Source organism: Homo sapiens, chromosome 7, assembly GCF_000001405.40.
Source record: "Homo sapiens chromosome 7, GRCh38.p14 Primary Assembly".
Classification (NCBI taxonomy): Eukaryota; Metazoa; Chordata; class Mammalia; order Primates; family Hominidae; genus Homo; species Homo sapiens.
In genome coordinates this window covers 83,973,878-83,991,665 of record NC_000007.14, presented here as the reverse complement: position 1 = coordinate 83,991,665, position 17,788 = coordinate 83,973,878, and the positions used below count along the sequence as shown (strand labels likewise).

General features: G+C 34.6%; 1 protein-coding gene across 3 annotated transcripts in view; it reads left to right on the top strand.

The window, feature by feature from the left end:
- The window catches only part of SEMA3A (semaphorin 3A), a 536,949-nt gene that overhangs the window by 501,060 nt on the left and 18,101 nt on the right, over window positions 1-17,788 (top strand). For all 3 annotated transcript variants that reach the window (XM_005250110.4, XM_047419751.1, NM_006080.3), the window contains 3 exons: window positions 6,189-6,230; window positions 10,188-10,345; window positions 14,470-14,534. In XM_005250110.4, coding sequence (XP_005250167.1) covers window positions 6,189-6,230; window positions 10,188-10,345; window positions 14,470-14,534 — 265 coding nt within the window. The remainder of the gene's footprint in view (window positions 1-6,188; window positions 6,231-10,187; window positions 10,346-14,469; window positions 14,535-17,788) is intronic.

Here is a 17,788-nt window from a genome sequence, read left to right as displayed (position 1 = left end):
CATCCCTGGGATGCAACGCTGGTTCAATATATGCAAATCAATAAATGTAATCCAGCATATAAAGAGAGCCAAAGGCAAAAACCACATGATTATCGCAATAGATGCAGAAAAAGCCTTTGACAAAATTCAACAACCCTTCATGCTAAAAACTCTCAATAAATTAGGTATTGATGGGACGTATTTCAAAATAATAAGAGCTATCTATGACATACCCACAGCCAATATCATACTGAATGGGCAAAACCTGGAAGCATTCCCTTTGAAAACTGGCACAAGACAGGGATGCCCTCTCTCACCACTCCTATTCAACATAGTGTTGGAAGTTCTGGCCAGGGCAATTAGGCAGGAGAAGGAAATAAAGGGTATTCAATTAAGAAAAGAGGAAGTCAAATTGTCCCTGTTTGCAGACGACATGATCGTATATCTAGAAAACCCCATTGTCTCAGCCCAAAATCTCCTTAAGCTGATAAGCAACTTCAGCAAAGTCTCAGGATACAAAATCAATGTACAAAAATCACAAGCGTTCTTATACACCAACAACAGACAAACAGAGAGCCAAATCATGAGTGAACTCCCATTCACAATTGCTTCAAAGAGAATAAAATACCTAGGAATACAACTTACAAGGGATGTGAAGGACCTCTTTAAGGAGAAGTACAAATCACTGCTCAAGGAAATAAAAGAGGATACAAACAAAAGGAAGAACATTCCATGCTCATGGGTAGGAAGAATCAATATCGTGAAAATGGTCATACTGCCCAAGGTAATTTACAGATTCAATGCCATCCCCATCAAGCTACCAATGCCTTTCTTCACAGAATTGGAAAAAACTACTTTAAAGTTCATATGGAACCAAAAAAGAGCCTGCGTCGCCAAGTCAATCCTAAGCCAAAAGAACAAAGCTGGAGGCATCACACTACCTGACTTCAAACTATACTACAAGGCTACAGTAACCAAAACAGCATGGTACTGGTACCAAAACACAGATATAGATCAATGGAACAGAACAGAGCCCTCAGAAATAGAGCCACATATCTACAACTATCTGATCTTTGACAAACCTGAGAAAAACAAGCAATGGGGAAAGGATTCCCTATTTAATAAATGGTGCTGGGAAAACTGGCTAGCCATATGTAGAAAGCTGAAACTGGATCCCTTCCTTACACCTTATACAAAAATCAATTCAAGATGGATTAAAGACTTAAACGTTCGACCTAAAACCATAAAAACCCTAGAAGAAAACCTAGGCATTACCATTCAGGACATAGGCATGGGCAAGGACTTCATGTCTAAAACACCAAAAGCCATGGCAACAAAAGCCAAAATTGACAAATGGGATCTAATTAAACTAAAGAGCTTCTGCACAGCATAAGAAACTACTATCAGAGTGAACAGGCAACCTACAAAATGGGAGAAAATTTTTGCAACCTACTTATCTGACAAAGGGCTAATATCCAGAATCTACAATGAACTCAAACAAATTTACAAGAAAAAAACAAACAACCCCATCAAAAAGTGGGCGAAGGACATGAACAGACACTTCTCAAAAGAAGATATTTATGCAGCCAAAAAACACATGAAAAAATGCTCATCATCACTGGCCATCAGAGAAATGCAAATCAAAACCACAATGAGATACCATCTCACACCAGTTAGAATGACAATCATTAAAAAGTCAGGAAACAACAGGTGCTGGAGAGGATGTGGAGAAATAGGAATACTTTTACACTGTTGGTGGGACTGTAAACTAGTTCTACCATTGTGGAAGTCAGTGTGGTAATTCCTCAGGGATCTAGAACTGGAAATACCATTTGACCCAGCCATCCCATTACTGGGTATATACCCAAAGGACTATAAATCATGCTGCTATAAAGACACATGCACACGTATGTTTATTGCGGCAGTATTCACAATAGCAAAGACTTGGAACCAACCCAAATGTCCAACAATGATAGACTGGATTAAGAAAATGTGGCACATATACACCATGGAATACTATGCAGCCATAAAAAATGATGAGTTCATGTCCTTTGTAGGGACATGGATGAAATTGGAAATCATCATTCTCAGTAAACTATCGCAAGAACAAAAAACCAAACACCGCATATTCTCACTCATAGGTGGGAATTGAACAATGAGATCACATGGACACAGGAAGGGGAATATCACACTCTGGAGACTGTGGTGGGGTGGGGGGAGGGGGGAGGGATAGCATTGGGAGATATACCTAATGCTAGATGACGAGTTAGTGGGTGCAGTGCACCAGCATGGCACATGTATACATATGTAACTAACCTGCACAAGGTGCACATGTACCCTAAAACTTAAAAGAACAAAAAATAATAATTTTTATCTACCTTATAGATTTTTTTTGTATTATTAAGGAACATGAAATGTATAAATATTAATCAGCTTCATTTTTGAAAGTATTTAGAGCTAGCTAATTTCACTTCAATTACATTAGCTGTTAATCTTTCTCTGCCTAAGAAACACTTTCTTTGAATTTCGATTGTAAACTTTATGTCATGAAAACCTTCATGAAATAAGCTCCTTAATAACCACATAACTATTTTTCATGTGAAATTGTTGGAATGAAAGAAGTATCTGTGGAAAATTTTCCTTACTCTTCTAAAATTTCTGTTTTGGTTATTGATTCCAATATTGTACAAACCTAAATACAGTCTTCAACTTTTTTTAAAAAAGCTGAATATCGGGGGGGTGCGGATCCTGCAGTGAGCCGAGATCGCACCACTGCACTCCAGCCTGGGCAACAGCGAGACTCTGTCAGAAAAAAAAAAAAAAAAAGCTGAATATCCATGATGTGTTGTGCTCTAAGTTTTTGAGATTTGTGGCCACTAAATTCTAAAGATTATATCTCTGCATAGAAAAAGTTGATAGACATTCCTTTCATCATAATTGTCTTTATGATTGATAATTTTTGTGTAAAATTATTATATTTAATAACTAATATAATTCATTTAAGGTATAAAAATTGGAAACTATGGAAAATCTCTAAATTATACCATTACATTAATGTACCTCCTAAATCATTTGTTTCATTTGTCTCAGACAGATTGTCTTAAATTTGTTAAGAAAATCCTGTTCTCAGCTCAGCCATCAGGGTTTGAAGTAGAGATCTGCAGTTCTACAGCACATAGTAATTAAAACCACAAAAGTTGGGAGGCTGAGGTGGCGGATCACGAGGTCGGGAGATCGAGACCATCCTGGCTAACACATGGTGAAACCCCATCTCTACTAAAAATACAAAAAAATTAGCCAGTCGTGGTGGTGGGCGCCTGTAGTCCCAGCTACTCGGGAGGCTGAGGCAGGAGAATGGCATGAACCCGAGGGGCAGAGCTAGCAGCGAGCCGAGATCACGCCACTGCACTCCAGCCTCGGCGACAGAGCGAGACTCCCTCTCAAAAAACAAACAAACAACAACAACAACAACAAAAACACAAGAGCTTATTAGGGAAGAAAAATAGCATCCAAAGGAGAGTAGAAAGGAGTGGGCAAGGAACAGTAAATATGTTAGGAGTGGCTGGAGGATGAGAAGACTGTGATAAACGTCATTAAGGAATAATTAATAAAGAATTCCAAGGCATAATGGGGTTTATTAGAGGAAGCAGCCAAGAAAAAATATAAAACAAAGTCTAATAATAGTTATGGATACAGAAAAGTGTCCTATCAGCAATACACAGTTCACTGGTGATTTCTGCTTCTGAAAATAGTAGGCCACCTCTCTAGAATAAAAGCTAGACTCAGTGGATTGAGCAGGGAAGGCATTGGATGAGAGATGAGCAAGCAAAAGCAGTGAGTGTAGACTATTCTAAATTATTTTTGAAGAAATGCCAGCTAAGCTATAAGAAACAAAGAAAGACTTAATAAGAGGGCTATCTTTATCTTAAATATAAATTAAATGGAAGAAAGACAGTATAGTGGGGTAAGTTGAAGAGAGGAGAGAAAGAGGAACATTGGTAAAGAATTCGTTCATTTATTCATTCATGCAAATATGTATTAAGAACTTGTAAATACCAGGCGTAATTCCAGGTGCTAGGGATATGGCTGTGAAATAAACAGCCAAAATCTCTGTCCCAAATTGAGGGGGAGAGGCAATTGGAAAGACACGTGAGATGCCTCAGCTGCCTCCTCACATCCTTTCACCTCACTTCTGATTCCTATGAGGAATCTTTTTCTTTATGCCCCAGCAAGCCAAAAGACAAGCAAGAGTCACAGCTGGGGCTGTGGGAGATTGAACCCCCTGAGAGCATCCAATGAGGAATGGAATGAATAAGTACTTTTCTTGGTACAAACCTCAGTGGACAATTTGGAGAGTCATTGTCAACTATCCTCAGATTTTTTTCTCAGTATTGACTTCCATAATACACTTTTTAATTGATTTTTTTCCACCTTCTTCTCAATCCTCAATTTTTTACTCTTGCCCCAAACCTGCAAACAAGATTTTATCTCAGATTCTGCTTTAGGATGTGTGAAGAAACTCACAGGACAAAAAATTAATTATATGTATCTATATAAAATTTATTATTAAGATATATTATTAATAATATATTAGATAAGATGTGTATAAATATACAGGTATATAACCAGTAATAAGAACTAAAGAGAAAAATTAAAGCAAGGAAATGAGATGGAAATGCATGTGTGTGTGCGTGTGGGTGTGTGTGTGTGTGTGTGAAAGAGAGAGAGATGAGAGAAGAGAGGAAAGAGAGATTTGAATAAACACTATATACCAAGCACATTTGTAATGTGTTTTACATGTATTAATTCATTCAGTCTTATCACCACCCCATAAGAGGTACCATCTAACTTTCAAATGAGAAAACTGAATTACAAAAAGTTTACACACTTTGCCTAGTACTGCATTTCTGGCCAGATTTGAATCACAATTTGAATCCAGGCACCTGGGCTCCAGAGTCCAGCTCTTCACACTTAATTTAGTAGCTTCGGTCACCTACACAGTGAGGTCTTTTAAGATCCATCGTTCCACCTAAGCCTCTTTCTTATCAGACCCCTCAGAAACCCACAAGCAGTCTCTGTCTTCTCGTAATGTTTGTCTTGAATGAAAGACACATAATGTTTGTCTTGAATGAACTGCAGCACAGTTCATTGACCATGAACCTAAAGGATGTAAACTCATGTGTTCAGTTATATAGGCTTTTGGTAGTCTGTCTACATCAAAGAACCCAATTTATTTATGCAAGCCTATATGCATTCATGATAAGCTCCAGAAAGAACACTTAATGAAGTGCATTGATGAGTGTTACTTCCCTAGTTATTACTCCTCTATGTTAACCTGTTAATAGACATTAAAGAGATTATATTCTCTGGCAAAGACCTGAGTGTAGGTCCTCGCACATGAAACCATGTTTTTCATAATAATGAAGTAATCTCATCCCACCTGAGCTCTTGTAGTCCTTGTCAGCTGGAAAGTGGCCTACTCTCATCAGCTGCCACTGGTGTTGTTAGGAATGAGGCTGGCACTCTCAGCTAAGGCAGCGTTCTCCAGTTGAACAGAACAATTTTCGCAGAATACCAACATCAGAAAGGACCACTCTGAGACCATGCTGAATCAAGATAAAAGCAAAACCATTTTGTAATCATGTCCAAACACAGATAAAAACATGAACATTGTCCAAACCACAAAAATGACCATATATCCCCATCCTGCTTATCGCAAGTTATTGCTACTTCTTCGCCAGTCATAGCTTTAGCCTTACTTTGTTCTTCCCTCCCAAATGATTTACGAAGATACTTAAGCATAGAATTACCCCTGCTTTTTGACCACATCCAATGTAGAACAAAGCTCTACTTCTTTGAACCCTCCCCCAATCACCTAACACAAGTCCAAAACATGTTTTTTCCAACACCCTCTCACTGTGCTCACTGTGCAGGCTCATGTTTTCCCTTATATTGTAGTAAGCAATAACCCCAACTTGGTCAACTACAGGTATGTAGACTGTATGACACTGACACAATCTTATTGCCTGCTCCACATATTTGACCCTTATCTATGCAGTTTCTTTATGTGTCTTATTTCCCAGTCACATTGCTTCTTGTGGACACTGAAGTTTCTCTCTGAAAACTAATGGCAGTGCCTTGAGTTAATTAACTAATAGCTGGCTGTTCTAATTGACCAAACACCTCACATATTTCTTTTTCTCCTTTAGGAACCGACTGCTATTTCAGCAATGGAGCTTTCCACTAAGCAGGTACTATCATTATGTATTACCATTGAATATCCAATATTTTGTTAATTCTGGTGTTTCAATAGATATATCTATTTATCAAATTTCACAGATTTGTTAACAATTATACAAAAATACAGGAGAAAACAAATATCATTCTTACAATAAGCTAGTAGATTAGAAACTGAAGATAGTTTTCATTGCCCTCATGTTTTTGATCAATCTCATCTGTGTTCTATAAACATTATTTTATGGATCATTATTTGTTATAAATTTTTACATACAGTGTATTTTGGTCATTTTAATATAATTTACTCAATACTCAATAATAATTTTCATCTTTTCTGATTATGTATTTATGTGTATACCCTGAAATAGCATTGTGATATTTCAGGATATAAAAAAAATTTATAATTTATTCTTACTTTGCAAATATAAACAAAAATGCATTTTTAGAGGCTAGTAAAATTATTCACTGGCTATATGTGTTTGGAGGACCTTGACTTAAAAGTTAATTTTACTTTTCCAGTAGTATTGTATGCTAGAGAAAACAAAATGTGTATTTAACTTTGGCTAAATATCAAATGAAAGCAAAAAAATGATCACTGCCAAATAAGTACTAAAACTTCATGAATTCAAAGGTTAAGGGCAGCATGTTAATAGTCTTTCCATTCATATCAAATGGATGCTTTGGCAAGACACTTCAGAAAAGTCAATTGCTTCTAAATACTGTGTAATATGTGTAAACAAATATAGTTTTAATGTCTAATATTTTCTCCATAAATGTTACCTAGACTTTCTTCTGTCCAGTATATCAATGGTAACTTCAAAAAAAAAAAAAAAAAAAAAAAGCAGAAAAATCCAGAATGAAGTAGGGTATGCCTCACTTACTAGAGTAAAAACTTATATACAAAATTGTAAAATGAGAATCATTTGGCAAATCTTATTTCTGAACTGTTTACATGTTTTATCTCTGACCATGCTTTATCCCTTGAACAAGACACTAAATTACTCTGCCAGTAAAATTCAGTGTATATCCTTTTCCTACACAGACATATCAAAATAGATCGATAATCTCCAAGATATTTAGAGCAACCCAGAGTGCAGATACGATTGACCTGATACTGTTATCTTACACTGCATAAGTATGTGTTCATCTGTTCTCGTAATCTGAAAATTGTTAGAGGTTGGCAAAGAAATCTGGGGATTTCCAGGATGGAAGCTAGACTGGGATATTCTTTCCTGTAATGATTTTTAAAATTATTTATTTATTCTCTGCTAGGCCTCATTGCCAGTCTTAATTGCACTAACTCCACGTCTATTTTTGTAAACCATTTCTTTCTGTTTTACATTTTTAAATCTGTTTAAAAAAGTACATATTAAGCCAACATTTTACTGACAAAGAAAAACAATCTATCAGTTTAAAATACCATGAGAGAAGAAAGTGTCTTTTTCCTTTATTTTCCATTACTGGAAGAAATGATTTGATTTCGTTCAGATATGACTCAATTTCATTCATGCTTATGGGCATTTTTAAAGTGAGATAGTAGTTTCAAGAGGGACAAGTAGTGTTGCAAGTAATTTTCTGGATAAATGAACCCATCTCCTGCTATACCCCACACTTTGTTAAGGAGGATAGTGAGAAAGCCTGTGGTGATGTTAAATTGGGCAGAAAAAGCACATCAGGTAACTTACTAGTGACTGGATTCTGCTCAATGGTGCCTAAAGGCTTACCCTATATTTCATTTGGATAGCATAATTATTTTTGCACTTCATTAATAATACTGCAAAATTATGGTAAAATGAACATGACTGATTTATAGTTACTTTTGGCATTTTATCACAGTTCAGGTTTTCATCATAATAATTTCAGCTGCTATATTTTGGTTTGCTATTCTTTCCACATACTATTTCTCTGTTTCTCCCCTAAAGGAATATGACATAATTAGATACTGTTATTTAGGTAATAACACTTTTCCTACTTAAATGTCATATTCTTAAAAAAATCTATAAATATACATTTTGCTCATGCTTCTTAGACGTTATTGGCGAAACAGAGATCTTGATTGTAGGACTAACTTGAGTAGCTTTTCAAAATAGTTGCAAACACAATGTATGGATTGACACATCCATATACTGAAATTGCTTACATTCAATAGTGTCTAAGTTCATTTTAAAAAAGGAGTCTGTGAAAGAAAAAGAAAGAAAGAAGAGAAAGAAAAGAAAGAAAGAAAGAAAAAGAAAAGGAAAGAAAGAGAAAGAAAGAAAGAGAGAGAAATGGGGAAGGAAAGCTTAACAATACTTAATCTATTTTTCCCAAAGAATTTAACCATCATTTCTTAATTTGTCCTGGTTTATAGCAAAATTCAATACTATAATAAAAGTTGAATATAGCAAAAAATTGAGCACTTAGTAATATATGCTATAATTTCATTTTTTCCATTTAGTGAAATGGAATAATAATATTAATGAAGATAAATGTTTCCACAATGGTTTAGATTTTATTGTATTACATTTCCCCTTATTTACTTTGCTTGTAATAAGGTATAAGTTAGTTGGTGAGATTTCAGCAGAGAACTATTTTCTATGTAAACACTCCTTATAACCTTAATATTTTCTTAGATTCTCATAGGTACTTCAGTCTGCATTCAATTTATCTGGTTATTTATACATGCAGTTTATACATGAAAGCCTTTGGAAATGCAATTTCATTTATATTCATTGTTAACTATTAGAAAATGTGTAGTATTAAAAAAGCATATCATTGTTCAGAGACTGACTTTTCTAAAACTCATTTTTTATTTATATACTAGAGAAACTAAAATACACTTTTGATGTCTTTTCAATGTATGAAAACATTACATGTTTCAGTATTTATGTAAGTTTTACTTAAGGCTTACTATAATTATTGAATCCTCTAGTGCAAGAAAAGAGAGCTATGGTGCCAATAACAGTAAATGTGGAGAAATTGCAAAATAATTTTATTTCATTTTGTGTTTAAATAAATTTGCAGCTAATATGCTACATTGGCTCAACTTTGTTAAAGGCATTTTAAAAGTTGTACTGAAATCCTGAATTATTAGAAAAACAATTTTTTTAATCTTCCATATTCTGGGTCTTTCAATAACACCAATTTCATTGAGAATAAATGCATTGTAGAATGTTTATCTGAATGCATACTTTAAAGACCTATTAAACATGCTCATTTTAATAAGGAAGTTAATTCTTAGAAAAATTATATGAATAGCTCAAGATCACACAGGGTGTTAATGGGCAGCGAGACCTAGAATCCAGGTATCTTCATGCTCAACCCTATGCTTTTTCCACAACACTTCAGCTTTTGGTTTGGCAGACTGCACCAGAGTGTACTTAGTGCCTCTTTTCAAAGACGTTTTGAAGGGTAGTAATTTAGTAGTCTTTTTAAAAGTAATCTTCCTGGAGGTAGTGCAAGGGTAAGACAGTTCTTGGTGTTGAGCCCAAAGTTTTTTCAAATGTAAGCACCAAAATTTTGCCCCTTCCCATATCATAGGAAAGGGCACACTCCATCACAGGCAATACAATAGGGTACTGAGAAGTCAGAAGCAATGGTTCCTGCCTCTGGCCAATCTGGAACACATGGTAATAAAGACATTTTGGTATATGAGTATTATATACAGTAAAGGTAAAAAAGCAAACTTGCAAAGAACAAAACTTGTAGCTTTGAACATTACATTGGTTGGTGTATTACTGTCTTCATCTTTCCTTTGTTTTACACTTAATAAAAGACACTTGTTTCAGTCAAATATTTAGAACTTGCTCTTGCTCCATTTTAAACTGCCATCTTGTCTAGAAGGCCTTTAAAGAAATTAGCAATAAAGGGATGATTTTTTTAAACCCTTAATTTATCTCTGAGAAGTTATATATAAATAAACTCTTTTTTAAGAGAACAAGAGATTTAAAAGACAAGATAGTTTTTGTCACAGCAGTAAACTCTTTCCACAGCAACAACTATATATTGGTTCAACGGCTGGGGTTGCCCAGCTCCCTTTACACCGGTGTGATATTTACGGGAAAGCGTGTGCTGAGTGTTGCCTCGCCCGAGACCCTTACTGTGCTTGGGATGGTTCTGCATGTTCTCGCTATTTTCCCACTGCAAAGAGGTAGGAAAAATATTCAAAATAAATGAAATGTTTGCTAGTTATCCTATCTGATTCCAAGTTTGAAATAGCTTTCTTCAAATAAGTGCATCAACTTTTTCTAATGAATAAAAAGATTTGGGAGCAGATGGAGGGGATTGTTGCGTTTTGTTTTTTCTCTTCTCTTCAAATAGTTAAAACAATCAGAAAAAAAGTCACAGAGAAAGTCATAAACAGAATCTAGACTGAGTCTTGTCCCTTTAGACCAAAATACTCTGTTTTCCAAACATGTTCTTCTATTTCTATCCAGCAACATTCTGTCTCATTTTTAAACTTTAATAAGGCAATTTATGTCTCTGGATGAACAGAAAATGATCAGAGAAAGGAATTTATTTTCCTTTAGAGTCTTAGGTAGTACACAGGGGCCTAATTATAAAAAGTCCAGAAGAATTTATTTCTAGTTTTGAAAATATTACATTTTAATATGTGATATATGTAATTTTGATTAACATCACAAAATACGTCTATTTGTTTCAAGAAAATTTAAGTGTTATTATATTATTATAGCATCACCTTGCATTTGCAGTGTCTGAACTTGAAACATAAAACCATGTAGTAAAATATCTATCTGTGCATATGCAATATATATGTATATGTGTATATCTATATGTATATGTGTATATATGTATATGTGTGTGTGTGTGTATATATATATATATATTTTTTTTTTTTTTTTTTTTTGAGATGGAGTCTCACTCTGTCACCAGGCTGGAGTGCAGTGGCACAATCTCGGCTCACTGCAACCTCTGCCTCCCAGGTTCAAGAGATTCTCCTGTCTCACCCTCCCGAGTAGCTGGGACTACAGGCGTGCACCACCATGCCCAGCTAATTTTTGTATTTTTAGTAGACACAGGGTTTCACCATGTTGGCCAGGATGGTCTCGATCTCCTAACCTCGTGATCCTCATGCCTTGGCCTTTGAGAGGGATTACAGGGATTACAGTCGTGTGCCACTGCGCCCAGCATATATATACATATATATCTCTTAAACATACTCTTGATAATACTTAAAAGTATTTTTTTGGACATGCTTGAATAAAAGTTGCTAAGATAACTCTTTCTTCATTTGACAAAATAGCCCTTTCAAAAACATATCCTTTACTACTCACTGAAGGATGTCTTTCTCTTTCAACATTTAGCAGGGTTTAGGAAATGAGAATGGTGGATGAAATTAACATACAGTATCTCGTTAATATGAGCCCAAAGATTAACAGCATGTATATCAACCTATTGAAATATAAAATGGAACCAGCTTTATGAAACCTCTGCATTTTAGAAGCAATATAATTTGATTTCTTTATTGTTTATTATAGCTATTTTTTTCAAAGAAGCTATGAATGTAGATTTTCATAGCTAATGAGGTATGTCCTACAACATTTGTATCAGTTTGAATATTTGGTAAAATATTTGAGCAAAGAAATGGCCCTAATGCCTACTTAAATCTCTTGATTACACACTTTAGATAACATTGACTGAGTGTAAAATCATCTACAATTTAGTCTGTTATATAAGTAGTCCAAAGGATTAAAACACAGTATCCTGTTAATAATATTAAATGTATACGCAGTATTATATCATATAAGAAATACAATTATTAAACCTTTAACATTCAGAATTGAGGTAACATGTTCGTATTACTTTTATATAACCATTCATTTTGTCGAAATTTCAAATTTAAAATAAAACTTATTGTGGAGATAATGTCTGTTCATTAAAGAAACCGTAGGTAATTTAAGGAATAGCAATATGCAGTCTTTACAGCAGTAACATTAAATTTTTTAAGATTAAAAGTTAATGCTTCTCAAAAACATTTAACTCTAGGTGGCTATTATCTTACTTTAAAATGTGGAATTCAGCCCGACACCGTGGCTCACACCTGTAATCCCAGCACTTTGGGAGGCCAAGGCAGGCGGCTCACGATGTCAAGAGTTTGAGACCAGCCTGGCCAGCATGGTGAAACCCCATCTCTACTAAAAATACAACAATTAGCCATGTGTGGTGGCGGATGCCTGTAATCCCAGCTATTTGGGAGGCTGAGGCAGAAGAATTGCTTGAACCCAGGAGGCAGAGGTTTTACTGAGCTGAGATTGCATCGCTGCACTCCAGCCTGGGTGACAAAGCAAGACTCTGTCTCGAAAAAAAAAAAAAAAAAGTGGAATTCGTGTTTGAACTAAAATGAGTATTATTTCTTCTTCATGTGAAAGTTTATAATATTACCTAATTTAGTAATAATCTATTTGAATTTTAAGCTCTTCTTAATAAGGAAAGAGATAAAAAGAAAATCAACACATCTATAAGTTAAAACCTATATGTTATTACATATTTGAAAAGTATTTATTGTATACCTACAATTCAAGATTGAAGGAATTTTCATTAGCACATTTTTGTTATGCCTTACAGATTTTACTTAATCCAATTTCATGAGTGACACGCTGTCTTTAAAAAGGATGTTTAGAAGCCTCATGATTTATATATTCTTTGTGATGGCATTTTTCAAAATCTTAAATGGCAGTGAAAAATGCCTTCCCAAATGCTTTGTAGTTCGTGTTTCACAAGTTCTCTTGTTGGCTCAATTTTGAAATGTGCAACATCTGTTTGATAGTTTCACTAATTCTACAAATAGAAATCTATAAATACTTTAGACTTCTAAATTTATGAATACAGTAACAAATTCCATATTTGCAATTCTCAACGGCCTTTGTGAGAGTTCTTTTTAGGGATGGTAACTAATTTTGCAGCAAGACAATACCCATTAAAATAGCAGCAGCAAACACTTGGGCAAGTGTCCCCCAATCTTTTCCAGTCTGTTACACATAGCCAGTCTCCATTTTTAGCCTCTTCCTGGAACTTCACATCTTTGTTGCACCGCAGTGACTACAGCCTACCTCCTCCTTCCCAGGCAACCATTAGCAAAATGTAGAAAAAGGATACCCACAACGTGCTGCAGCTCACATGTGATCTGGGGGTAGAATGTAGAAGAAATCGTTTGATTTTTATAAGCAAACTTTGCTTTTCTCTTAAATGTAAGTTCATTTATTCTCTCTCTCATTCCTCTGGCAAGAGGAGGCCTTGCCCTTAAGTTCAACATTTATTGTTGCTTTTATTCACTTCACAGGTAAATTGGTTTGCAATCATAGCCATATGATCATAAAATAAACTGTTTTAAAAAAGAACAGGTTGATATGGCCAGGCGCAGTGGCTCACGCTGTAATCCCAGCACTTTGGGAGGCCGAGGAGGGCGGATCACAAGGTCAGGAGATCGAGACCATCCTGGCTAACACGGTGAAATCCCGTCTCTATTAAAAATACAAAAAATTAGCTGGGCATGGTGGCGGCTGCCTGTAGTCCCAGCTACTCAGGAGGCTGAGGCAGGAGAATGGCATGAACCCGGGAGGCGGAGCTTGCAGTGAGCCGAGATCACGCCACTGCACTTCAGCCTGGGCGACAGAGCGAGATTCTGTCTCAAAAAAAAAAAAAGAAAGAAAGAAAAAAAAAAAGGATAGGTTGATACAATAACCAAGAAAAGAAATTTTAAAACTAGCTTAAAAATAGAATTTCTAGTCTTAATATTATAAAATTTAGCAAAAGTCTATTTAAATAATTATGTGTAAGCATTTAGAGAAAGAGAACATTCATGTGAATTATAATTTTCAAGCTTATTCCTTCATTAATAATCAGAAAAAAAGTTTAATTTACCCTTTATTGAAAAAAATGGATTATTATTTTAAATTTTGTGCTTTTTCCACAGAAGTTAGGCCTTGAGTTTCTAGACATTAGATTGTTACTGACTGACATCTGGTAGTGAAAAAGCCATGAATTCTCTGTTATCACTATTTTAAAGACTTTTAACATGTTGTTAGTACATTTGGATCTTGTTTCCCATTTTGATCATCTTGGAGACTGCTCTTACAGGTATAATGAACTGTTTTTTAAAAAAATCTTTTAGTTGGATGTAGATTCATCTGTTCCTGTAAGTTACTAGAGTCTATGATATATATATATATATTTTATTTCTCTTCATTCTTATGACAAATTCCTAGAAGGGAAAAATAAGGATACAATAACACCTTTTAAATGTAATTGCTTCAGACGCACAAGACGACAAGATATAAGAAATGGAGACCCACTGACTCACTGTTCAGACTTACACCATGGTAAGTCACATTTTTCATCTTTCAACCTGCTAAGACCAGGCTAAAATCATAATAATGCATATTCATGCATATGCATGCAATGTATGCATCTCTCAGAATACTTAAAGAAATGCAGCCGAAGAGAAGTAAAATCTTACAGAAAGAAAATCCTAAAGAACACAAGGCACTGAATTATGTTTTATTATCATAAATTATGTTTTATTATGATGATAAATTCAAAATTTTAGATGCTTACAAGGTTTAAAGCTCAACTTTCTTATATTAACAAAAAGAAGCCATGTTTAAGTACTTCATTTTGTATATAGTAGCAACCTGAGATGAGTAGGGAATGGAAATGTACATTAAAATATACCAAAGCAAAAACTACAGTCTTAAAATATGCCTTAAAATGATTCATTTATATGCTCATGATATAAACCTAATATATCATTATTGGGTATCCTAGTCAAGCAGAAGATAATGTGGATATCTTTACACTGAATTACTAGTAGGGTATTCCCTTACACTGGGCATTTTGTACCAAATTCATTTTTTGCTTCCTAAAATATGTCAGAGCCTATTTAATGTCAAAGTTGCTTAGTAAATGCAGAAACATCAACCAACCTTCACTTAAAATGCAGTAAAATTGTAGTGATGCCCCACTTTCCATAATTGAAACATTATGCCATATTACTATGGAAATAATAATGAGGTTATGCTTCCCTCTGCTGGGGGAACTTATCAATGACAATACTGCTAATGAACATAGTTAAAAATGGCTGAAATGTACAATGTAAACATTGTCACTTAACATAATTATTCTATTAATTTTTTTGATGCCATTTATTCTAAAAGTAGTTAATATTTATCAGTTGACTTTTCTTTGATTTACTAATTTTATGTGTGGAATATTCATGTTTATGGATTTTAATAAAACATTACCACACATAGAACCCCAGCATACATTCCAAAACTTACTTTCTAAAATTCAGATCCCCCTTTGGCATAAGCTGGATGGGCTGGTATTTGATTTACGAATGCTCACGGGATTGTTTGGGGAATCCTACTACCAGGAGACGGGTAACCATGAATAAAGCCAGTGTTTCGGAACCACTTTGATTGCAAATTTTCTCACCAGGGACTTTCCTATCTGTGATTATCTTTACTATAAATAAGAAAGAGACCACAAAACTGGAGTAAATGTTACGACTGTCCCTGCATTAGTATGGTGCATTTATTGAACACTCTCCTTAAATTTTTTCAAATAGCATATTTCAATCAAATCCTAAAATATTTGCTAATCTTTCATAATCTGTTTCATGGAAAAATATTGAATTATGATCAGCACCATTCCAGCAATGTAATATTTTGAAATATTAATTCATTACACTAAATAATCTGTTTGCCTATATGTGGAGAGTTAATGATAATTACTGGAAGTAAAAGAATCAGGAGAATGTAACTGAACCAATCAGACTTTAATCTCCATATCAAAATGAAACATTATTTTGCTTGTTGTATATTTCTAGGTTTATATCAATACAACATTATGAGTATTGTAGATAACAAATATTTGTTGAATGACTGAATGATCTAAAAATTTCAAGTTATAATCTAGATACATGTCTTATTACTTTTGTTTTTCAGTAGAGATTTGAACTAATAGCACTTTTTGATTTTTGTAAAAAATACCTTATGTCATACATTGTTATTATCAACACCATTATATTCAAAAATAAGATCTCTCTTAGGAAACATCATTATGAATTAATCAATTGACTAATATATATTGATTATATGCCATCATGTGTAGGACACTATGCTGTGTTTTGAAAATTTTTAGAGATTATATGCATATATAATCTTAATGGCATATTCATTTGTTTAGTGATCCCTTTATAGATTCAGTTAGAATTTCAAAATTATATTCATGCTAGAGTTATGAGTGTAAATATATATGGGGAAAAACTGACCAAAGGAATTTTTATGAAAAGTATGACTGTGGATACATAAATATTGTTAACCATTGAATGACTGGGGTTTGGAGAGTGTTTCAGATATTAAAGATGTGTTTTGATAAAATTAGAGTAGTTAAAGACTATTAAAATTTGGCATATAGAATGGCTTAGCCATAAGAAGTAAGAAATAAAGTGAGTGTAAATAAATTTACCTCCTGATTCTTACGTCAGATGCACACTGGAGAGAGAAGAGAAAGTGCAACTGTTCAGTGTTACAGGGTCTTTTGGGGGAGGGTTGTGGTAAACAACTCTAGATGTTTGTGATATCTGAGAGGAAAGGGTAAACTAGCCCAGCAAGCCCTCCAGCAATAAAATATTCCTTTTTGAATGCCTCTTTTCCCCTTGTCTGCTTGTTTTGATAATGACTACACATAAACCATATACACCATAAATTACACTAAATTTCAAATATTTGGAAACTAAGGTAGGCATTCCCATTTGGCCATGCTAAGTCTTACCATTAGGAATCAGTGATTATTTTGGAATAGTTGACGTCAGTATTTGAAAGTAAAATGGGCAAAAATCCGGAGCCCAGCCTTACTAAATCATGTATGTTGTCTTGCTAATATTAATTCTCACATTGAATAAAATATATGTGCTCATGTGGAAGCATAAAAATATGAGATGTTTTCACAGAAAGCTGGTAAGCAACATGAAGCCAAATTACACACTTCAGGATGATCAGTTCCAGCTGTAATGGTAAACATATTCTGTAACACTCTATAGTTTACACATCCAGAGGTTTTAATAGAGAGACTATATACAGAATAACTCAGAATTAAGGTGGAAGAAATTTCACTTTAGATGAAACATTTAACACTCACTTGGCACTCTGCTCCCTTATATGTAAAGTGGCTCGAGTGGTGAACTAGGCCAGGTGAAACAGAAAAATCCAGCTACACCTCCTCTTGATCCCAGGATACTCTCCTCTGTCGCCGGTGGCTGGTCACCTAGGGGAGATTTTAGTATCAAATCTTAATATATGTGTGCTGGCAACTCTTGTCTTCCCACTCACACCTCATACAGGAAGCTAAAGAGGAAGCTCAGGTTGTTTCCAATCTGTTCCCTTCCGTAAAATAATTGCTGTGTACAAAATTGGAGCTCATCTGACTTTGTACTCAAGAAAATGACTGACGAAGGCAATTTACCTATAAACCACTTCCCATTTTCTTTCTCACTAAGAATGGGCCATATTATGATTTACATGTCCAGAAAGGAAAAAAAAAAAAACTACACCATCAGTACTAATTTTTTTTT